The sequence below is a fragment of the Homo sapiens genome, chromosome 11 (assembly GCF_000001405.40).
Source record: "Homo sapiens chromosome 11, GRCh38.p14 Primary Assembly".
Taxonomy (NCBI): domain Eukaryota; kingdom Metazoa; phylum Chordata; class Mammalia; order Primates; family Hominidae; genus Homo; species Homo sapiens.
The window spans coordinates 113,623,709-113,648,710 of NC_000011.10; the positions used below are offsets into that span (position 1 = coordinate 113,623,709).

The window sequence follows — 25,002 nt, forward strand, 5'->3', positions numbered from 1 at the left end:
TGGTGGAGCATGAGGAGGCAGTGAATGATGGGACATTCCCAGTGGAAACAAATGTTCATTCTTGCTTCCATTAGGGATTTGTTCCTGGACTAAATAAGAGGAGAGGCAGCTCTTTGGAGATTTATTCTCCTTTCCTCTGAAGTAAGAAATACAACTGAAACTACAAACTGCAAAACTGTATTATGACCTGCAAAATAGATTAATTGTATCAAACCATATCTTGCAACACCAGCAAAGATCAAACTACTTTAAGACCAGCACACTGGTGTGTTGTATGCACAGAGGCTTGATGCCAAGACCACGGGGAAAAGGATTCAGCAGTGACTCTGGACTCAGGCTTTAGAGACAAGACCCCTGACTATTCCAGAAATTCACTTTGTTTATAAATTCTGACCAACCCCAGTCCAGACTTCACTCACAAATTTCTACCCTATGACCACTCTATCACAAAAACCCATTAACTTCCCCATTTTGAGCCACCACTGAGTCTCTGTCAAAACAATGCTCCCTCATGCCGTGAAAGAAAGAGCATTGTTTTAAGCATTATTAAACATGCCATGAAAGAGGGAGCATGGTTTCCCAGTGGTCTTTGGAAGAGGGTTTCAACAGGCAGACAGGCACCCATGCCTCTTGCTCTTAGACTGTCAACTTGGTTCATGGAAACAGCCTGTCCAGCACCTGCACTCACTGAGTATGGAAAATGGCTCACTGTGGACCAAACACTTCAGAGCAGCCAGTGAGAATCAAAATTTTGGGATGTTTAGGTAAATATTCAAAGTTAAATGTATTAGAGTCTTTTCCTATATGTTTTGAAAAGCAGCCAGGGGTCCAGAGGAAACCTCCACAGGACACTTGCCTTTCAATGCTTGGAGCTCTCTGGGCACTTCTTGTGGAGAAAAGGTGGGTAGAAAGGCAGGGGCAGCACGTTTCTTGTCTGAAGGGCCCATGGCTGGAGGAAGAGCATCCCTGAGGAGCCTGCAGGTGGTGGCGAGGAGAGAGGGGTACTCTGAGGGCGACCTAGAGCACCTACCTGCTTCTCCTCCTCAGCCCCAGCTCCTGCTCTAGAGGGTTTCACATTCGCTAACCCCTCCAGCCTTTGTCCATGTTGCTTGTGAATCGATGTCTTAGTCTGCTCAGACAGTTATAACAAAATACCATATTCTGGTGGCTTAGAAACCACAGAAATTTATTTCTTACAGTTCTGGAAGCTGGGAAGTCCAAGGTCAAGGCTCCTGCAGATTTGACATCTGAAGAGGGCTAACTTTCTGGTTCATAGATGACACTTTCCCACTATGCCCTCACTTGGTGGAAGGGGCAAGGCAGCTCTCAGGGATCTCTTTCATAAGGTCACTAATCCCATTCATGAGGGCTCCATCCTCATTACCTAATCACCCCCAAAGGCCCCATCTCCTACTACCATCAACTTGGGGGTTTTCAACATAGGAATTCTGGAGGAACATGAAAATCGAGCCCCTAGCAATAGGTATTAAGGTTATGATGGTTTAATATTCAAACAGAAAGGAGTGAACCATGCAGGCAAATGGGAACTTCTTTACCATTCGGTTTGGGAGATTTACCATTACCTCAAAGCAGAACTTGAATAGCCAAATTTATGCAAGTACGTTTTCCTTTTATTTCTTTCTTCCAGTGAGTTGTTTCAAAAATATCTTAGTAGTTGTCTACATAAAAGCCTTTTGTGGTTTTCTGATAACCTAATGCTGTCCTCCATACCCCAACATGTAAAATATGGGCCCTCTCAAGGGTGACCCCATCTCCCTGTTGCCTTAGGAGTCTGTTCCCAGTGTAATTATAGCCTCTCTTTCACTCCCAAAACTGCTTCAGTTTGTGTAATAAATTATGTGGTGACCCTAGCAGTAATCTGATATTGTCAAAGGAGAACTAATGATATGGAACATGTGTTGAGTATGTAAACTTTTAAAATTATTTTTTATTGAGCATTAATTGTGTGTGTGTGTGTGTCTGTCTGTGTGTGTGTGTGTGTCTATAGACACATATATTTTCAGTCCTCACCAACCCTCTGGGAAGTTAAGCAAAATTAATGTTCCCATTTTATATTTGAAAAAAATCAAGGCACAGAATAAATAACTTGCCCAATATTGCACAATGTAACTTCAGAACCTGCACTCCTTACCACTATTTATTGCTGCCTCCTGAGATGCTGGATCTTTACTCCAGAGAATCTGGGTGGTCAGAGAGGGTTTGATTTAGACATGGTGGTCCTGAAACTTAGGAATAAGAGAAAGAAGAAGAATTCAAAGTGGAAAAACAGAAAAATAGATGGTCCCCTCTTATATTTATTTCTTACAGCTGCCATTTCTAGGGCTGCAGATGGCAGTCCTAGGAAATAAATACAGGATGTCTTGATAGCTGAAGACAACAGAAATTTAGGCCAGGCACAAAGACTCATGCCTGTAACCCCAGTGCTTTGGGAGGCCAAGAGCTTGAGACCAGCCTGGGCAACATAGTGAGACCCCCATCTCTACACAGAGTTTTTTAAAAATTAGCCAGTCATAGTAGTGCATGCCTGTAGCTACTTAGCTACTCAAGAGACTGAGGTGGGAAGATTGCTTGAGCCCAGGAGTTTGAGGTTACAGTGAGCTATGATCATGCCACTGCACTCCAGCCTGGGTGACAAAGTGAGACCCTGTCTCTAAAAAAATTATATAAATATACATGTATTCCTCTAGTTCTGGAGGCTAGAAGGCCAAAATCAAGGAGGAGGACCCTCCCTTGCCTCTTCCAGCTTCTGGTAGCTCAAGGCACTGCTTGACTTCTGGTAGCATCACTTCAATCCCTGTTCCCATCTTTGCCTTCTTCTGTGTGCTTGTGTCTCTAATCTTCCTCTGTCTTTCTCTTCTAGGAACATCTGTCATTGGATTCAGGAACCACCCTATATTCAGAATGATCTCATCTTGAGATCCTTAAGTTAACTATGTCTGCAAAGACCCCTTGTCTGAACTAAGTCACATTCACAGTTTCCAGGAATTTGGACCTGAATATGTGTTTTCGAGTTGGGGATCACCATTCAACCCACTAGGCCTCCGGGCATACATGATAGGGGATGTAGCTCCTGTAATCTGTATAAACCTAGGTCTAAATGTATTCCTTTGAGCCCATCTTGAGAGGCCTTTTTTTTCCCTCTTCAGAGTTGCTTAACTTTTCCTTGTTAAGAAAACTTCTCAAGTTACCAACAGCAAGAAAGATTTTCATCATTTCTAGAAAACCCCAGAACTGAAGGGAGGCCAAGATGTTAGAAGGAAGCAACACCATTCCTCATCCTAAAAGCCCTGATTTTCTTCTGCCTGCCTGGACATTCTCCACCAAGCCCAAATGTCACTCTTTGAGGCTTCCTGAAACCATCCTCTCACACACCCCTACTCACAACATCATCAGAAACACAGTCAGCTTTCTGCTGACTTTCACTAATCAGGTGTGTGACTTCAGTCTGCTCTTCAAGTTTCTAGGCTTGTTTCCTCCTCTGGAAAGAAGGAACAAAAGAAAAAAAGAAAGAGAGAGGTGGGGAGGAGGGAGGGAGGGAGGGAGGAAGGAAGGAAGGGAGGGAGGGAGGAAGGAAGGAAAGAAGGAAGGAAGGAAGGAAGGAAGGAAGGAAGGAAGGAAGGATGGAAGGAAAAGGAGGAAGGAAGGGAGGGAGGCAGGGAGGGAGGGAAGGAAAAGGAGGAAGGAAGGAAGGAAGGGAGGCAGGGAGGGAGGGAAGGAAAAGGAGGAAGGAAGGAAGGAAGGAAGGAAAAGGAGGAAGGAAGGAAGGAAAAGGAGGAAGGAGGGAGGGAGGAAGGAAGGGAGGGAGGAAAGGAAGGAAGAAAAGAAGGAAGGCAGGCCAGTCTTGAAGGTCTCTAATATCCTAGCCATAGCATTAAGGATGTTGAGCCAGGGAACCACGTCTCTAAGATCTCCATCTAGTCCTTATTTCCCTGCTTAGAAAATCATTGCGCCTTCTTCTCCCAATCTAGGCCTGGTTTGCCCTCTCCTCCTGCCTCCAAAGGGCTCTCTCCAAAGCTGATCTTACTCATCCCTTAAACCAAGTCTTCACTACCTCTTGCAGATCTCTGCCTCCAGCCAGAACTCCCCAGTTCTAATTTCCAGGCCCAGAGCTCTTTTCTCTTCCCTGAAGGAGACAGAGCAGAATTCTCTATTCCTTTACTCATCTCTTGTTTCCTTACCAATAATTAACTTTATTATTATTTAATAAAGATACATAGAGGATATTCCTAGCAAAGCACAACAAATACTTGGCTCCAAATATCAACATTTGGAATTCACACATCCCACTATCACCAGAAAGTGATTATTAGCAGGAAGAAATTGCTGTAGGGTTTTTATGCCTTTCCTGTTAGAGGCAACAGATGGTTCCCAACAACAAAAAAAATACCAGTCACTCTTGATAAAATATGTGCACGCCAAACCGAAAAAACAGAGATGGACAGCAAATTGGCAACCATTACCACTACAGTTTATATTTGGCATTTGAAGACACTGATTGTATATACAGAAGTCACATCTTGCCATAATAAAATCTTTTCTTGATTTGAAAAAAAAAAAAAAAGCAAACAGGATAGGTGCAGTGGCTCACGCCTGTAATCCCAACACTTTAGGAGGCTGAGGCAGGTGGAGCACCTGAGGTCAGGAGTTCGAGACCAGCCTGGCCAACATGGTGAAACCTTGTCTCTACTAAAATACAAAAACTAGCCAGGTGTGGTGGTGCGTGCCTGTAATCCCAGCTACTCGGGAGGCTGAGGCGGGAGAATCACTTGAACCCGGGAGGCAGAGGTTGCAGTGAGCCAAGATCTCACCACCACACTGCAGTCTAAAAAAAAAAAAAAAAAAAAAAAAAGCAAACAAATCTTTATATGTTCAGTATTTTTTCCACCAGACTTCAAGCTCAACACCAGACTTTTCAGTTCAAAACCAAGCAAATGGTAATCTTGCTGCCTGTAAGGGCCTAGGGCTAAAAGTTAACCACTTTGACATCCTAAGGAACATGAGCTGGGGATGCCAGCACCATGAGTTTCAGGGGATCAATTGCTTCAAGTAGCTGCCACCCTATGTCTACCTTCCCTACCTCCTTCAGGGACTGGCTTTGAAATTTCCACAATGGCCTCTCATCTTGGTCTGCACCATAATGTCAACAGTGTTAATAAAATAAAATTTCCCAAACTTGCTAAGGGGAGCAGCTGTTTCATTCCCACACCTGCTACCACCCCTACCCCAGCAGAAGGGCTGTGAGCTACAGAGCCAGTCCTGTGTTCTCTCAGCCCACACCCGCCCTGCTCAGAAGCTCAGCCAATGGGATAACCTTTGGGTAGCCACAGGACTACTCTCCCCACAGATCTCACAGCAGAACTGGAAAGGTTTCATCAACGGCTAGGAAGCAGAAAAACAACAGGTAGGAAAAGAATCAAGTGTTCTCTTTCAAGCCTGCCCTAGGGAGTCTCTGCAAGCCATTATTCTGAAGCCTAGAAGCAATGCCCTCCCCAGGGTGCCTTGCTTGCACAAATACTGAGAGACAAAACAAAAATGCTCAATTTCAGTGCTTCCAAGAACCCCTGAAGAGGCTGGAGTTCCCTCCAACAGCACGGTGGCTTTGTGTGTGCAAAGCAATTATAGGAGTTGGATGTCAGAGAAAACGGGGGTGAAATCTAAGCACCACCCCAATAGAAAGTACAGATGTTATTAATCACCACCTTGCAGCTCCTCTAAAAGCCCAGATAGCTCCAAAGTGAATAGGTTTCCATTCATTCAGCATTTAATAATAGGTGTCAAGTGTTTCAGCAGCCCCTGTCCTATTAGAACTGTTTTGATGGGGAAATAAACAAGCAAATTTGTGATCTTACAACACCTGGTAAATTTTCTCAGCCACACACAAGTTGAGGTGTTGAGCATGCAGAGACAGCAGGGAAGACCCGATGCCCAAGGCAGGAGGCGGTTCCTGGAGAAAGTCATATCTGAACAGAAGGAAGAGGATCTGGCCAGGGGATCGGGTGAAGCAATAGGTGTCCAGGCAGCTTGCCCTACACACTGGGAGGGACAAACTCTGCCATATTCTGTGCCATTAAAAGAAGTTCAGTTTAGCCGGAACAGAGGACAGGAGGAAGGGCTAGTGAGCAAAGAGACTGGAAAAGGAGGCCATAGCTGGGTGTTGGATCGCAGGCGCCATAAGAAGTTTGGACATCTAAAGGTATCTGGAGAGTCCGCAGCGCAGGAGGAGGAGAGGAGCAAACGACGGGATTGGATCTGCAATTTGGATGATTTCTCTTCCAAGGAGCACCGTGCCCTCGGACTCTTTGTTGTCTTTGACACTCGGAGCTGCTGTCGTGGCAATTGTTAAAAAATGAAACTTTAAGAAAATGAAAACCTGAAGGTAGAAAATGGAAGATGGGAGGACTCCCTTAATAATTCTGAGGATCACTATGGGAAGCCAGCCTAAAGACCACAGGGTCAGAAGCTGTCTAGAAGCCACAGCCAAAAGTATGCCCTCCGCTCCTCCAAAGCCAGGGAAAGATCTGGCCCCCAGCCTGCCTTGGAGGGAAGGGGCGATGCTGCACACAGCCTGGGTTGCCTCCTTGCTGCCGCCAGGCTGAGCTTGTTAAACTTTCCATCATTTTCCAGCCAACTGAACTGCATCAGATGAGACTGAGTCTGCGTTTGTAAAAGATGAGAAGAGACCCTCTGTATACAGCTACACCCCTTCCACCCCACCCTCTGCCAATCCAAGAGATGAGTCCATCTCTCTGCCCTCAGTTTGGGGTTGCTCTAGGAGGCTTTATGGGGTGCAGTGGCCCCCAGACCACTAGGCTGTCACTGAAGTTGATGCCTTTCCTACAGGGACAAGGAACCCAGCAGACCTGCCTCCTGCCTCGTTCTGCCACCTGGGGAAGGCAGGGTTCTGCCTTTGAGCCTAAAGAGTTTTCTACCCCAGGGCTGAGAGTGTGAGTGGAAGTCAGGAGGAACCAGCTCTAGGTAAAGCCCTAGGATGGGCCTTCTGGTCAACGTCCAGCAGGTCTCAGCTCCTCTTTCTGCTCCCATGGAAAGAATCAGAAGTGGGGTATTTGGCATCGTTTTGCCTGAAGAAGAGATGGAAAGGCTTGGAGGTGCACACAATGGTGAGACAGAATAAAGAGGAGACCAAAACTCTTCCAGGGAAGGCAGGTCCAAATGACCTACTTAATTATAAATGATCTAAGCCTCGGGTGACAAGAGGAATCAGAAAACGACCAAAGACTCTCAACCCCATGGGGGCAACAGCATTTTCTTGTGCAATTCAGAACACTAGAGGTTGGTGATGTTAAGAGATGTCTTATTTCAGGCAAAAATAGATGTTAAATAGGGCTCCCTAGATGTGTGTATAGATGTGTGTATGGATGTATAGATTCGTGTATAGATAATTCTCATTTGCACGGAGCTTTTATAGTTTGCAAGGCTTTATCACCATCATATTGGATCTTCTTCACAAACCAAATGAGGTAAAAAAGCAAAGTATCATTACTACTACCTTGTGACAGCTGAGGAAGCTGGAAGGAGGTTGAATGAAACAGGTGTGACATAGCAGAAAGGACATAAGATTTAGAATCTAAATACCCGAATTCAAGCCCTGCCTCCCCAACCAACTAGATTGCAAAAATAATTGTGTCTGTATATTATATTTAATTCTTAAAAGTGTGACTATATTTCCCTTATTTCCAAGTTCTTGGGAAAAGAATGGGCACCTTATTCTTGCCCCCATATGTGGCTAACACAGGTAACATTCTCTCTCAAGACTCCCCACAAATTATTGCCCTTTAAGTTAATGTATGCAAAGAACTTTGGGTAGTGCCTAGCATGTAGTAAGTAGCATATGAGTGTTAACTAGTATGGTTTATCTCTTTGTCCCCAGCACCCGCACAGTGTCTGGCACATGCTAGGTGTTTAATAAATACAAGCTGATAGAATGACTGACAGGTATTTACTGTCCAGTGTAGGAAACAGACATATAAGCAAATAATGGCAATGGAGTGAGGTGAGTGCTATGGAAGGTATGTATCAGTGTGTGGTGGTGGGGAGTGGAATAAGAAGTTGCTCACTGCAAGAGGAAGGGTGAGGGAGGGTGCACTGAGGAGGTAAAAGATATGCACTGACCCATTTATAAGGGCTTAAAGACTTTGGAGGAGGACATGAGTTAAAGAGAGTGGAGAAAGAATCTCTTAGGCAGGAAGTTAAGCGTGCAGAAAAGTCTGTAGTCATGATGCAGTAGCATGTACTCAGAGAAGAGTGACTGACTCAGTATGGCTAGGAAGTAGAGTATCAGGGACATCATGGTGGAAGAAGAGGTTGGAGCCAGGGCCAGATGTGAACAACTTTGAATGTCAGACTAAGGAATTTGGATCTTATTCTCTAGCAGAAATGCAGAGCCAGTGAAAGGATTGTAAGCCAAAGAATGAATATTTGTATTATAGAAAGGCCAATCTATGTGTTTTCAGAAAAATGGAATTGAGAAAAGCAAGACTGGAGGCAGACAGACAAGTTAGGAAACTATTTCCATAGTCCAGGTAAAATATAAGAAGAGGTTGAGCTTAGATTATGACCACTGAGACCTTGAAGAGGAGACAGATTAGAAACGTATTCAGGAAATGTCATCAGAGAACTTTGTAAGCTACTAAACATGTCGGGAAAAGCAAGGAAAGAGGCAAACATGGTGTCGAGGACTTAAGCCTGGGTGACTGGATAAACAGAAGCCCCACTAACCAAGTTAGAAAATGCTGGCATAAGAGCAGATGAGGAGTCTCCCGTCTGGACACTGTGTTTGAAGTTCTTGCTCAGTGTGCACAGGGAGCTGCCCAATAGCTGTTGAGCCAGAGCAGACTGGAAAGAGCCTGGCAAGGGGTCCACCCTGGTGTTGTAGATCTAGGGTCATGGACAAGTGATATAGCTTAAGCCACGGGAGAGGATGAGATCAGTCAGAGAGAGAATCTAACCTGTGTTGGCCGTGCATGGGAGCAACAGCAAGATGCCCATTCTGCCCAAGAACTTCAAAATAGAAAAATACAGTCACCCCCACTAAGAACTAAATAGTGTTATACAGACAAAATGGATGTGAGGAGCTCATTGTGGGAGTAAAAGGAGATGTCTGTGCCCAGGGAATTTGAGAAGGCCTAAAATATCCATCAGCATGGCTTGCTGTAACCTACTGTCTGTGGACCTAGTCTTTGGCCAGGAGGCCTGGCATTGTTGCAGCTATCCTAACAGCAGCCTAAAGAAGGGACAAAAGGCTGAGAGTATCTCAAATAAACCAAGCCAGGGCCAAGTCTGAACCATGTTCCAACCCTGGCCTTTTTTGGTTATACGATACAATAAATTCCTGTTATTGTCTTCAGTTGAGTTGGGTCAGATTTTCTGATCATTGCAGCCAAAAGCATGCTAAGCTGGTACACTCAGTGAGCTTGGAAGCACAGCAAGAGGAGGAAGTGAGTAAGTCCCAGTAGGAATGCACCTCTCTGGGGACCAGGGCACTCGAGTCTGAGGGTCAGGGCATGCTCCCCATGCTTTCTGCTTGGACAGGATCTGGATCTTTGCTTTCTGTTTTCAGAATTCTGGATTCATCTGCAACATAGTTTCTATGGCTGTCTTAAGAGTGAAGAAATCTCTTTCCAAGCAGACCCCAATAAATTTGGCCTTTTGTCTCATTAGACCAAATTGGGTCATAACTTTTCCTGAATTAGTTCTGAGGCCAGGACTGATTCACATTGGCCTGGATTCCAAAAGCCAAGGGAGTGAGGTTACTCTTAGGCCCTTTAGGCCCAACCTTGGAGCTGAGGGTGGCAGCAGCCCCTCAACTACAGTGGCTGTGTGGGCAAGGCTTGGGCAAAACTGCAATAATCACCGGATGAAGAGGAAGTGGATGTCAGGGAAGCCACCATGACATCCACTAGACTAACCAACTTTACCAACTTCTGGATATAAGTTGGCTTCCTATTTGGACTTGCCAGAGGAAAGCACAAAAACACTATCAATTCAAATCTTATGGTCCAGAATCTGTTTCCTACCAGTAAGGCTGTTTTCATTTATGAGGGGCTGCTGTATCAGGTAAACATAGAAATATTTTGTGATTTAATACAATGAAGTTTTTCTTACTCAGATAAACTCTAAACAGTGGCAAGGTGAGTGACAATGAGCACTGTGCTCCAGAGATGGCAGGGTCCCTGTCTGCTTCAAAGCCATTTCAAAGGTTGTCCTGGACAGCAACATACAGCCCACACATGGGCAAAGAGAGAGGGAAGCATTGAGAGGGGAGTCTTATGGCTCAAGCCTGGCAGCAGAGTGCCTTACTTCCACCCATAATCATACACCACACACAGCAGTGGTGAAGCCTGGGAGAGCCCCTCCATCCCATTTGAACTGCCCAAGAGAGAGAGAGAGAAACAAACAAACAAACAAACAAACAGAAGAGGATGGAACTCTGGAGAGCAATAAAACAATCTGTAAGCCAAGGATAAAAAGAAGCCACAAAGAAGATTGAGATGGGTAATCAGACAACTAAAGACAAAAACCAGAGTGGAGACAGAGATTAAAGGAAGAGGGAGTTCCAAGTAGGGGAACAAGAACACTTAACCATCTCCCCATCTCATTAGATGGTGCTGTGGATTAAAGGAGCTGGGAAATGTGAAAGTGTTATCAAAATGGTGAAACACTGTACCCATGTGTGAGACAGACTCTGATAATTTGTTTGCCTCTGGGGCCTCTTGAGAGCCCCACCTGTAACATTCAGCCCTGGAATTGCCAGGCCCCACCCTGCTCCTTCCCTTTCTGCACTCCCAGCAGATGGGGTAGCAGGGAAGGTTGAACAACCACCACCTGTGGCCTGCGAAAATGCCCTGTGGTTCCAGAACCTCAGGCAGAGTCTCCAAAGTTGAGCTACCCCTAAATCCCCAAGAGGCCGTAAGGGGTTGAATCTCTAAGATACAATGTCCTGTGCTCTCCAGGGAAATACCCACCCCTTGATCACACTGGACCAGACTGGGCTGCACTTGTACTTGCAGAAGAGAAAGAGGAGAGAGAATAAATACAAGAAATCTTTTGTACAGGAGGGTGGGGTGGGAGGGTTGGAGGAGTGTTTCAAAAGCTTTTCTAAATTTAATATGTCATTTTCTAATTGTATTTCATAATTGTGTAATTATCCCTAAGTATTTTTCTTTAAGTAATAGAACTAGTAATTACATCCTAATTGAATGTGTAATCTCATCATTAGGATAGGTAAATATATAATAGTGTGATGATGATAAGGTAATTAAAATTCCAAGGATGACTCTGCCATAAAAACCTATGACATGTTCCTGCCTCTGTCCCAGGATTCCCTTCTCCAGCAGGCTTTGAAATCCCACCTGGACAGAAGAGATAAGCTCCAAGGCCTAAGAAACGTTTAATGAGACAGCACTTTTCCCAGTGAACATACAGGCCATCTGGAGCAGTATTGTCTGCCTCTCTCTCCACAACCCTTCCCAAAATACCTCCTTGGGATTTCCCACTTTTACATCATTCCCCATTAGGAAGGAAGCCTAGACTTGCAGAATGGCTGGATATGGGCTGTCTGACTCCCCCGACCCTGCCTGAATGCAGAGCTCTGACGAGGTAGGTTGGCCACGAAGCCAGGCTCAACTGATGCACAAAGGAAAAATAAATATATCCCCTCTCACCCCAGAGCAGCTGAGGTACCCACAACAAACATGGATCTGTGTGTGAGGCTTCTGCATGGGCAGAGGCTGCTATTTTTAGGGAGACCCACTGATTAGGATTGTGCAGGAGGTTCCAGCCGCCTGGATGGCCCCATGATGGAGGCCAAGGGCTGGCCTCAGGCACAGCACCAGCTTCCTGCCCCATCCATGACAAGAACTCCCTCCTCGACCAAACATACTCATTACTCCTTACTCTGATGAGCCCCCATCCTTGGCCAACTGAGTCCAGTTTTAGCAAAGAATTTATTGAGAATCCCCCCACCTTGATATCAAGTTCCTCTTCCCCACACCCTGCACACCTAGGCAAGTTCCTCTTAGTGATTTTCCATCTACTTCCTTACCCTGTCATTGGCTATAAATCCCCACTTGTCCCTTTTGCGTTTGGAGTTGAGTTTACTCTCTCTTCCCTGTTGCAATAGTCTTGAATAAAGTATTTCTTGCCATTTTGGACAAGCATTTTGTGTATTTTTTTTCTTTAACTGCTAAAACCCAGGGACATGGACCATGAGCAGACCTGTCTAATCTGAGATGACACTCATGGCCTTACCTAGAGGGTGACAGGTATCCTCCTGGGGTAAACTGAAGATGCTAAAGAAGCACAGATGAGAAGGGACATTTACCTGGACACAGTCAGTGGGAGATGGGCACAGTAGAGGGGTCAAGGTAGAGGGGAGTGTGAGGTGGCGGGCCACCATGTGCCTCACTGGGGAGGTGATAACATGGCCTTTTCAACAGGGTAGAGACCATGAAGAAGACAGTCAGCAGAGACAAGGCTGGAGGGGGTGGGCTGAAGAGCCTTACAACCTTCATCAAAGTTCAGACTCTCCTGAGGATGGCATTCTTTACTAATTTGGAAAAGGTGTAAGTCCAGATGGATGGAAAGATGGACAGAAAGATGGACTGAAGGACTGATGATGGATGGGAAGATACTGGATATCACAGGTGGACCTAAAGCAAACGATAACCTGGCCTCCACCAAAGCTATGATATTCTTCTTCTGATTCCCTAGTCCCAGAAAATCAGGGCCAGCAAGGCAGAGACTAGGACCCAGGCAAGGCCCAGTGCTCTCTCTGCTCTGTGTGACCCTCCTGAAGAAAGCAAGGGCTTCCCTTGTCTATCTACTACTTCTTTTTCTATTTTTATTTTTTATAATTTCAAATTTAATTTTAGATTCAAGGGGCACATGTGCAGGTTTGTTACCTGGGTATATTGCATGATGCTGAAGTTTAGGGTGCAAATGATCCTGTCACTCAGGTACTGAACGTAGTACCTGATAGATTTTCAACTCTTGCCCACTCCCTTCCTCCCCACTCTAGTAGTCCCCAGTTTCTATTGCTGCCATCTTTATGTCCATGTATACCCAATGTTCAACTCCCACTTGTAAATGAGAACATGAGATATTTGGTTTTCTGTTCCTATGTTAATTTGCTTAGGGTAATGGCCTCTAGCTGTATGCATGTTGCTGCAAAGGAAGTGATTTCATTCTTTTTTATGGCTGCATAATATTCCATGGTATATATGTACCACATTTTCCTTATCCAGTCCACCATTGATGAGCACCTTGGTTGATTCCATGTTTTTGCTATTGTGAATATAACAAATAGTAAAGTGTTATGATGAACATATGTGTGCATGTGTCTTTTGGGTAAAACTATTTATTTTCTTTCATCCAATACTTCTTAAATGCACTAGTCACTTCACATAGACACACACATTCCAAAGGCCTCACATCACACAACAGCACCAAAGGCCTTTGACTTCCATGTCCCAGAAGGACCTCTCCAAGCCAACAGGCTCAAAGAGAAAGTTTCTATCTTTCTTTCTTTTTCTTTCTTTCTTTCTTTCATTCTTTTTATTAAGAAGGAGTCTCGATCTGTTGCCCAGCCTAGAGTGCAGTGGCACAATCTCAGCTCACCGTAACCTCTGTGTCCTCGGCTCGAGCAATTCTCCCACCTCAGCCTCCTGAGTAACTGGGATCACAGGCATGTACCACTATGCTCACCTAACTTTTGTATTCTTAGTAGAGACAGGATTTCACCATGTTAGCCAGGCTGGTCTCAAACTCCTGGCCTTAAGTGATCTGCCCACCTCGGCCTCCCAAAGTGCTGGGATTACAGGCATGAGCCACCGTGCCCAACCGAGAGAATTTCTTAACATCAGATATGTGGATTGATTTTTCCCACACGATCCTATTAAAAAGTGAGGAAGCTGCCTTAAGATTTGGTTTGTGGCCCTCAGAAATCTCAAAGGCACATGGGGCTAAAACCCAATGTGACAGGGCAGAGGTGGGTCACACACTTGCCTTTGGAGCAGGAACACTGAAGTGAGGCTTGAGTGACAGAGAGGAGGAGGGATGGTGGCTCCCTGCAGGGAACCCAGTGGAACCCCTCAGTGACAGCTTTGGCGTGGGAGGGAAGGGAAGGGAAGGGAAGGGAAGGGTAGATGAACGTCAGAAACTGGAAGACAGTAAGTGGAGCTCCTACCTAAGCATATTAAGTATTTTCTCTGCATAGCAGTCAGATGAGGGTTGAGCTGTGACTTGACCCACTGTCCCCAGATGCTAGCAATCTGTTACAAGACTCCCTAGTCACTTAGCCTGAAGAATACTTATTACCAGTCTTCTTTTTTGTTTTCTTCTGAGCTGTCTTTTTAATAACATGACAAATTCGGCCCACATGCATACAGAAATCCCCAAGCAGATGTTGGCAGCTTTGTTCCACCATGGCAAGGCTGTCAGGTGCAGGAAGCATAAAAACAGAGGCATCCTAGACACAGAAGGTCTTCCATGCCACTCCTGCAGGATTAGGGATTGGCTTCCTGACACTTTCTCAGAAGCCTGGGGTCCAAACTACAGGCACTGAGGCCACAAATGCCAGGCCCTGGCCAGATGGTTTAAACCCCATCCCACTTATTCAGAAAAGTAACAGTTGCCTGGGTTTAGACATTTTCCTTAGGAACATTTCTATAATCAGCTGCCTCAGAGGCACACATAATAGGGCACATGTTAGTAACAATACAGCAGTGCATTAAAGTAAATTACATTTTAAAAGACATTATCTACCTCAGAAGTCTCTCCCGCTAGGTCTAGAAGGTAAGGCTGGACAGCTCCCAGCTGAGTCATTACCAGGGGCTTCTTTGGAGAAATCAGCGGGTGCGCAGGAGCAGAGGGAAGAGAGGGAGGGCCTGGGAGCCTGAAGACGCGCTGAGATCCCTGGGCATAGCTGGGGTCCTGAGACCTGCCGTCCAGCTCCGGTGTCTCTGCCTCCGGCCTTGTGCCAAGGCTTACATGAGGAGCACCGGGGGAGATGAGATGGGAATGTAGGACACAGGCCAGGTCATGAGGTCCTTATATGCCATGCTGAGGGGCTTGTGAATTAGCCTGTAGATGATGGGGATCATTGATGGGTTTTAAGTTGAGGGGAAGATATTTTACTTTCAGATAGATCGCCTTTATTGTTACATAGAGAATGAATGAGATGGGAGAGAAACTGGAGGTGGAAGGCTATATGGGAGAATACTGCAAATAGCCTGAGCAAGAGATGACCAGGACCTGAACTAAAGCAACTGCAAGAAGAGGGAGGGAAAAGAAGGAACACATGTGCTATTAAGGATACAGCACTTACATGGCTTGGTCACCAGGGGTATGTGGAGGATGAGAGGAATAGAGTAGATGGACATGACCAGGTAGATGGTGGTGCCATTCACAAACAGAGGGAATTTGGGAGGAGGGTTTGGGGTGGGGAGAGACAAAGATTCCATTTGTAGGCTTACAGACATGAGGCATCTGCAGGACATTCAGGTAGAGCTATATAGTAGGAAGTTGGAAATATAACTAGGACTTGGGAGAGAGAGCTGAGCAAGAGGTAGAAGTTTAACAGCCATGAATGGAGATGGTAAACAATGCAATGGAAATGGATACAATCACCCAAATAGAAAATGTGGAGTGAGAAAAGGCCATGGACAGGGCCTAGGGAGCACCAGCATTTCAGGAGGGGGCATTGTAAACACGTCTGCAAAGGAGACTAAAAATGAATAGTCAGGAAGGCAGGATAAATAGGGAAGGCCCACTGGAATCTCGGGGAAAAGAGACTTCAAGCAATGTATAAGCAGCAATATAAAAGCACAAGCAATCCTTTCAAGATGTTTGGCTATGAATGGAGAAAGAAAATCAAAGTGCTACCAAAGTCCTGGCTCTGGAGGAGAGAAGAGGCGATGGAATTAAAGACGTGGGTACAGGGATTGCATTTGATGAGAGACTTCAGGGAGGGAGGAGGGTATTAATAACAGATGTAGGGAAAGGAAGTTATGGGTTGGGGGGTCATAGAAGTACCTTGCTGAGATTGAAAGCCATACATTTGCAGTAGATCCATCATACACGGGTCTGTGATTTTCTACGACGTTTAAGTATAGGAATGATAATGGTAAAGGGTTAGAGGTCTGTGGGATGAGAGAAAGGGTTAAGGTGGGTCAGGTGGAGAGGCTTAGGGTAGGATGGGGAGAGGGTTAGGGTAAGACAGGTGGGGAGAGTTAGGACAGTTCAGGTGGAGAGGGTTAGGGTGAGACGAGGAGAGGGTTAGGGTGGGTCAAGTGGAGAGAGTTAGGGTGAGTCAAGTGGAGAGAGTTAGGGTGCATCAGTGGAGAGGGTTAAGGTTGGTCAGTGGAGAGGGTTAGAGTGGGTCAGGTGGAGAGGGTTAGGTGGGTCAGGTGGAGAGAGTTAGGGTGGATCAGTGAATAGGGTTAAGGTGGTTCAGGTGGAGAGGATCAGGTGAGTCAGGTGGAGAGCATTAAGGTGAGATGGGGGAGAGGGCTGTCTGTGACTGGTGATTGTATCTGTTACAGAGAACTCTCAGCTGGGTAGGGAATGTACTAAAGCCATGGGTGAGATGATGTCCTAGAGTTTCAGGAGTGAAGCCATGCTAGCTGATGACAATGTGCAAGGTTTGAGTGAAGGCATCAGTGAGATTTTTGAGCCCAGGAGATTAAAGATCCCAGAAGCCATGCACTAACTACTATACAATACTGCCTATTTTAAAAGGCTTAGAGACAACTGGAAAGAGAAGACATGCACATACAAAGCTCAGGTAGCCTCAGGATTGCGAGATTATGATTAGCTGGGGAACCCACAGAGGGCTGTGTGGAGCATATGCTACCTAAAATGGGCATCATGGCCTGGCTTGGTGGCTTCTTCCTGTAATCCCAGCACTTTGGGAGGCCAATGCGGGAGAATCACTTAAGCCCAGGAGTTTAAGACAGCTTGGGCAACATAATGGGACCTCATCCCTAAAAAATATACAAAAATTAGCCAAGTGTGGTGGTGCATGCCTGTAGTCCCAGCTACTTGGGAGGCTGAGATGAGAGAATTGCATAAGCCTGGGAGGTAGAGGCTGCAGTGAGTCATGATCGTGCCACTGCACTCCAGCCTGGGTGACAGAGTGAGACCCTATCTCAAAAAAATTACGTGTGTGTGTGTGTGTGTGTACGTATATATGGCATCAGAGTAAATGGGCAATATTTGGCAATGCAAAGATTAGAGGAAGCAAGTCAGAGAGGATAGCATGATGCCTCAATTTTTACAAAGGCCTTCTAACTAGACTTCTTGACCCAGAGTTTCCCCCAAGAAGCTGAATATAGAGGTAGAAATGCTTATTTTAATCCTAGCTATTCTGCTTAAAAGTTCTTGACTTTGGACATGTCACAACTCTTTTGAGCCTTAGTTTTCTCAACTATAAAATAGAGATAAGAATATTGTTATGGGTTACAAGATTGAATGAAAAGGTGATTTGTAAACAGCATAGATCAATGATTCTAGACCTGCCTAAATATTGGAATTACCTGGAGTGATTGCTAAAATACAGATTTCTGGTGACACTCAGCTATCACCAGCAGGAAAGAGGTCTCTTGACCTCTGTCTCTGCCCACACTCCAAGCTACTGCTCATGCCCCCATTGACTGAGCCTAACCAGGAGCTGGCCAGCAAAAGAGCATGCAGCTTGTGGGGCTCATTCTCCTGGCACACAAACACAAGGGGACAAACAGAATAATTAGCACTCTCCCTTTCTCCAAAGCTCCCAGAGACTCTCCACTGCCTACTAAATAAAGTCTAATCTCCATAACTGAAGGTTCAAGCCCCTTTATAATCTGCACCATCTTTCCACACTGTTCTTCCACTCACTGCTAACACAACTGAGGCTGCAATGGTAGTCGGTCAGGACCACATGTTTCCTGGCCCATTGGGTCTTCTGCCATTCCACCTGCCGGTATGCTCTCCCCAGCCCCTTTTCTCTTAGGAGAACCTTCTCAGCCTCGATTCAAGGTCTGTCTATGAGGGCATCTCTAATAACCTCCAACTGAGAAAGATCCTCTTCTCCCTCGGCCCCTCTCTAGAGATTGCATTTGTACCGTTTGTATGATTCACCAAGGCCCACCTTACACCTGCCATCAGTCCCCACCTTTTCCTGTGGTGAAGTCATTTGTATCCATGTATTACCTCCTCTATGAGATTGGAAGCTCCTTGAGGATAGAAACCATGCCTTTATGTCCTTCTGTTGCCCAGCCAGTTCCCAACATTGTGTTGGCTTATGACACCTCCACCTCCTTTCCTGGCTCACAGACTCCTGTGCCTTCTCTAAGATCCAGCTCAAATACCAACTCCTCTATTTCCTCCAAGCATAGCAATTTATCTCCCCATTTTCTCCTGCCAGAGGACTGTGCAATGTGTCTCTGTCCCCCCCACACCTTCCCCACCCAGGGAGTCAGTGTCCTGGTTAGGAGTACACACTCTGCAGCCCATCTGCCTGAGTTCAAACCCTGAGACTCTATCACTCAAAAGCTGTGCAACATTGAGAAATGCCTATGCCTGTTTCTTCATTTTACTCACCATAGGAAATGAGTTCATATATGTAAAGCCCTTAGCATAGTGCTGCCATATATACTAAATGCTGAATAAATGTTAGCTATTAATGTTATCGCTTTAAGCTCCTAAAAGGCAAGACCTGTGTCTTAGCTTTTGTTTCCCTAGTGTATACACAATTCTTGATATTGATTGGTGCTCAGTATATATTTGTCGATAGCCTGAATGCATAGGCATTTAGAATTCAGTAAATATCTGGGTGGGTGGGTGGGTGAATGAAGGGATAAGTGTAGGTACTTTGTAAATGCTGCTGGTTTGCACAAATATGTGAATCAGTAGGTATTCACTACATGTTGTCTGGTTACTTCATTGCTTAAAATAAATGAGTGAATGAGAAAAAGAATGAATAATAGGTATTAAATAAGAAGGTTGATCGGTTGCACGGTTGAATTAACAAGCAGATTTTCCACAAATAGCAGATGTTCCATAAATGTTGGCTGGCTGAGTAAATGAACAAACATTCCTAAAATGTAACAACAGCCTGGAGTCAAAGCCGAAAGGACACAGCTAGAGCACCGGTCAGAGAGAGGAGGTAATAGACCCTATCCCCTCCCCAGTAACTGCCTCAGAAATTGTCCCCTTGTCCCTGCCATTTCTGAAGTTCTCCCCGCAGCCCACACTGCTTCTACATCTGTCCTGGTGCTCATGGGTGATTCAGGAACCTGGGGTAGGAAGAATGGCTGGAGATGCACCAGCCTCCCCCTCTTCTCCCCACTCAGCCAAGGACCAGCCTACTCAAGACCCTGTGCCCCCAGTACAGGCCTCCATGCCGTGCCCCTCGTGAGAAGGGCACTCTTCACCTCAGAGCACATTAGGAGCAAAGTCTGTATTACCTCAATCCTGGGGGCTAATCAACTCACACATCCTTGGCCCCAGTTTCTGGCTCCGCTTTTCCCGAGACAGCCCCAGCAACCACACGTCTCTAGTTAATGAATTATTTTGCAACACGTCTGGAGACACATGAACTAGAAATCTTACACATGTTGGAGGATTTTGCCATTTCTATTAAATATGCCATTCACTTGGTGGGTAATTAAATGTGCAATAATGGGCTCTAATTTCCATCTTAAATAACTTCCTAGGAGTAGCAGAAAGGAAGACGCAGGGTGTGATTTTCTGGAAGAATCTTTTTTTCCCCTAAAGCTTTTCAGCACATAAAGAAGGGGGAATTGAGTAAAATAAAGTTAGATACTGCACCACATGTGAGTCTTCTGCAATTGCCCCCAGCAGGGAAAGAGACTAAAGCCTGTAACGCAGTAGCATCTCCCACCCCCAAAGCCCTGAGGCAGCCTAGGGAAGGCTGTTCAAGGAGTCTGAGCTCGGGGGAGAGAAGAGAGGTTGGGCAGAAGCAGGAGCTGGTAGTGAGGCGGCAGGGGGCATCTCTGCTGTCTCTGCCACAGATCTGAGAATGATAAGCCTTCTTCCTCCTCTCTGCATTTCCCCACTGTATGTGTGTGCTGTGTGTGAACACAGGTATGCACACACATGTGCACATGCATGCATGCATGCATACACAAACAGGTACACAAGCACGGGCTTCGCTGTCCAGCACTAGCAGCCCCAGTCTGAGCCTACCGCAGCGAGGCAGCCAGGAAGCAAGAGGGAAGAGAGGGGTCTATGCTGCATTGGAATGAAAAGGGCCAGGTGGAAACACCACTCCTGTGGGAGCTGCTGTATGGGGCCTTTGAGGTCACATACACCTGGCTTCAGATTCAGGTTCCATCACTTGCTGTGAGCATACGGTCACTCAGCCTCTCCAGATTCAGCTTCCTCATCTGTAGGATGGGAATAAACCCAACTACCTGGCAACACCCCTGGCACACAGTAGTAAGCTCTCAAAAAACCTGATTCCCGCCTGCCCTTCTCTCCCTCAGTGGGCATTGAGGGTCAGCCTTGCCGGGGTCAATGTGCAATCTACAGGCCAGCTCCTCCCCACCCCCACAGCATCTTGCCTCAGACCGGCCTGCACACTCCGCTCCCTCTCCCCCTCCCTCCCTTCATCCCATCTCTAGATGGCCTTGGCATCTCCACTTCAGTAGGAATGACGCTTTCACCCTTTCTTGAGGCAGGGTTGAGATTTGCAGGGAGGCCGAAGACATCATAATCCAACTGGGTTCCTGATGTAAATACAAAGGTAGCACCAGTCAGGAAGGGCAGAAAAAGCAAACCTGTGGCACCTCCCTTTCCCTGCATTGTCTGGAGCGAGTTCACAGACTTCCAGGTCCCTACTTCGAGGCATCCCTCCCCTCAGAACCTTCAGGAGCTGACACCAGAGGGCATCAAGCAGGACTTCTCCACTCCTGTGGCTGTGAATTTGGAGGGCCCACTGGAAGGGCTACTACCACTGGCCAGTGCCTCCCACTTCCTGGGTCTCTCCCACGTCAGTGTCTGGTTCAGCTCAGCTTGGCAGAACCCCTGCGTGGTAGACAAGGGTGCTGACAGGAAGCTGAAAGCAGCAACAAATCAGATGTCTCCCTGCTCCTCTGCCTGGTCTCCATTCTGGGAATCTGGAAAGAAGATAAGCAAATTATTCTGAGTATCTCCCAGAATATCTCAGGATCTCAGGCAAGGAAATGGACTGTGTAATAGCTGAGGTGGAAGGAGGCCTGGGATGGAAGTGAGTGGTCGGGGGAGGCAAAATGAAAAGAAATTACCTGGTTGACTCAAAGCAGAGCCTCCACTCAAATTAAAAGGTAGACATGGGTGTGCTGGGAGTGAGGTGGGATTCTTTACAAGGCAAGATCAGACAAGAACAAAAAGGACCCAAGGACCATACCCAGCTATAGGGCCTGGGCCCCATTCAGCAGGGTAAATGGTGCAGCATACAACTCCCTCGAGCCAAAATTCTATTTATTTATTCTTTCAAGCACTCACTGTTCACTTACTCAATTACTCAACCAATATTTATGGATTGTCAACTTTACACAAAGAAGACCATTCATGAGATAAACATGAGTTTGGGAGACAGGTAGACCTGGTTCGAGTCTCTATTCTGTCATTAATGTTTATATGACTTTGACAAGTTACCTTGAAGTCTCTGGGCCTCAGTTTCCACATCATAGAATAGGGTTGTTGTGCAGACCAAATGAGAAAATACCTACACTGCTTAGTATGGGGTCTAGCACATAGTTTTGCATTAATTTAAAAATGTGTCATTGCTGTTATTTTGAAGGCAATGTGCTAAGATCTTAAGATGCTCAAAACATGAGATTATCCCCTTGTACAATCAGTGCATAAAATCCACTTTCTATAAAATTATGTCCCCAGGGAAGACTGTTCTGTCCTTATTGTTGCCTACACTATCTGCCATAGAGTTTTGTACATGATAGGTGCTGTTAGCTATTTGGCAAATGACCAAGGATAAACCAGTGTGAGCCATTTCAATAATAATGTAGGAGATCATAGCCTTATTTAGGAACACTGGGCTGTACAGATGGCAATTTAAGCATGGGCACTGACACAGACCCAAATTTAGCCTATGTATGAAATCTAGGACTGGACACACCCCAGAGATTGCCTTTCTAGTGTTTCCTTTGAACTTTTCTCAGATACAGAACATAAAGTGTTACATGTAGGCTGAAAGGTATTCGTAGTATTACAACGTTCATCTCTTATCTTTTGTGCAATAAATACTGAATTTCTGTCTGGAGGAAAACTGACATGCAAAGAAATTCCAGCTTGTGATGAGGAAAGAGAGATGTTGAGAAGTAGCTGGACTGAATCCATAAACTGACAGGGCATGAAACAAGGTTGGACCATAAGACAGGAAGGGACTTGAGGAATCATCGTCATCCTTCCCACTCATCTAACAGATGAGGACACAAGGTCCAAAGAGGCTCTGTGATTTGGGATACCAGCTAGTTAGTGACAGGGCTGCAACAAAGCATGGTTTCCTGACTCCATTTCAATGATCCTTCCACTACATCCGTCTGTCATCGTCTCTGAACACAAATTCATCAGAGGCAAGCAGATGACTGCTTTCCTCCTAATCAGGCGAGAGGGACTGGAAGAGCATCACTTAGTAAAAGACGACCAAGTACAGCCCCTTATTAGAAGCCAACCACTAGAGCATGGCCACCCTCCAGCAGATGCCAGTCAAAGCAGCTCTTCCTCAGCCCCTACGATCACCGTCTCTAGGCTGGCTTTTCGAATGAAACAATGTTGTCAAGCATGTTGATGTCTGCAATTAAGCCAGCTGGACAGGGGAATTCATCCTGGAGACAATTAGAACTGACACCTGCTTTTAAAAATGAAAACAATCTGAGGAATATTTAAGTGAGTCACAGTTCAGCCGCCACATTTAAAAAAAAAAAAGAAAGGCCGGGCACAACGGCTCACACCTGTAATCCCAGCACTTTGGGAGGCCAAGATGGGTGGATCACCTGAGTGAGGTCAGGAGTTTGAGACCAGCTTGGCCAACATGGTGATACCCTGTCTCTACTAAAAATATAAAAACTAGCCAGGCATGGTGGTGGGCACCTGTAATCCCAGCTACTCAGGAGGCTGAGGCAGGAGAATTGCTTGAACCCAGGAGACGGAGATTGCAGTGAGCCGACACGGTGCCACTGCACTCCAACCTCAGTGACATAGTGAGACTCTGTCTCAAGGAAAAAAAAAAAAAACAAAACCAGAAGGATGGGGCATGAAAAATGTCCTCAGGGAAGAGATACTGGCCAGGGGGCAAGGCTCTCCAAGGGGCCTCTTCCAATGAAACCGAACTTAGAGGCAGCCACAGAGACCCCACCTTCCCTTTCTTAAAAGCTCTGCCTCCTCACACCCTCCAGATTACAGGTCAGCTATGTGCTGCAGCAAGTGGCTGGGGCCCTCAGTGGGGTAAAGAAAGGAAGTTGAAGAACTTAGGAAACTACGTGTGAACAAGCACCATTTGACTCTAGACCCTGCCCTGCACCTTCTCACGGTCCCTGTCCCTCTTTTTGCCCACTCACACAGTCCTGTCTACACATAGTCTCCACCCACACACAGGCCTCGCCCACACACAGTCTCCACCCCCTTGTTCAAAGGCATCTGCCTAACTCTGCTTAATTCTTTCTGATAACTGTTGCAAAATCTCAAGTGATAATGAAGGGACCTCTTTCACCATTTTCTAACCAGGGTCTGATACAGGTCCTGATGCATACTAAACATTTAATAAATGTGTTAGGTGACCAAAAGCTCTTAAACATTACCATTTTATTGCCACCGGCAATTTTCTAGTTTAATTCCATCTCACACCTGTTCTTTACTTAGGTAGCTATGACCCTTCAGATGTTGGCGGCTGGGAGCACCATTTCATAGTTGAGAAAACTGAAGTTTGAATCAGTGAAGGGGAATTGCCTGGATGACCCAATTGGTAGCTGGAAAAGCCAAGCATCCTACAAGTCTCTCACCTGGGGGTCTCACCCTCTTTCAGCCACGGGGGAGCTGCCTTTCCTGAGCTATGGATGCTCCACGGGTAATAGAATGTGAAAGGGAACTCTGTTATTCCAGGACCTTACTTCTAGCTATGTGCACGGTCGGAGCTCATTACCTAAGACAAATCAACCTAGAGGTTCTACTGGAGGTTGTTCTTTCACAGGGAGGAGGTGGTGGAGGTAGGGGATGCATCATAGGTGGTGGTGATAAAGAACGATAAACAAGGCAATTTCACACAGTTCTAAGAGCCTCAAAGATCATCACAAATGGAAAATCTTAGAGAAAAAATGCAAGGCGGAATGCATCAGTAGAATCACAGGCTAGGCTTTATGAGTCACACTCTTAAGTGTTCAGAGATTCAGAGAGAGGAAGGGAGAGACCAGGGGAGATGAAGTCAGATGCTTCATGGAACTGGGGTCCTGCATTGAACCTTGAAGAAAAATTAGAATTTGGTTAGTTAAAGAAGTCTGGAGCTGAGTCTTCCAAATGTAAAATCTAGAGCAAAGGAAATTGAAAAGAGGAAGCATTTATTGAGCAACTGTTATATGGTGGTGTGTCTGAAATTGGTGGGTTCTTGTTCTCACTGACTTCAAGAATGAAGCCATGGACCCTCGCGGTGAGTGTTACAGTTCTTAAAGATGGTGTGTTCGGAGTTTATTCCTTCTGATGTTCAGACGTGTTCAGAGTGTCTTCCTTCTGTTGGGTTCGTGGTCTTGCTGGCTTCAGGAGTGAAGCTGGAGACCTTCGTGGTGAGTGTTACAGCTCTTAAGGCAGCGGGTCCGGAGTTGTTCATTCCTCCTGGTGGGTTCGTGCTGTCGCTGGCCTCAGGAGCGAAGCTGCAGACCTTAGCGGTGAGTGTAACAGCTCACAAAGGCAGTGTGGACCCAAAGACTGAGCAGCAGCAAGATTTACTGCAAAGAACGAAGAAACAACCCTGCC

The 25,002-nt window shown here is 46.0% G+C and overlaps 1 long non-coding RNA gene across 2 annotated transcripts in view, besides 1 other annotated feature; it reads right to left on the bottom strand.

Annotated features, from left to right (window-relative positions):
* LOC107984390 (uncharacterized) overlaps positions 1-25,002 on the bottom strand; it is a 100,111-nt gene that overhangs the window by 37,309 nt on the left and 37,800 nt on the right. The gene's annotated exons all lie outside the window — the stretch shown is intronic.
* Positions 4,961-5,959: an enhancer, noted in NCBI's record as "OCT4-NANOG hESC enhancer chr11:113499391-113500389 (GRCh37/hg19 assembly coordinates)". NCBI's record gives its function as "activates a minimal SCP1, AML or CMV promoter by ChIP-STARR-seq in naive and primed H9 embryonic stem cells {active_cell/tissue: H9 hESC(naive and primed)}" and the evidence as "EXISTENCE:reporter gene assay evidence [ECO:0000049][PMID:30033119]".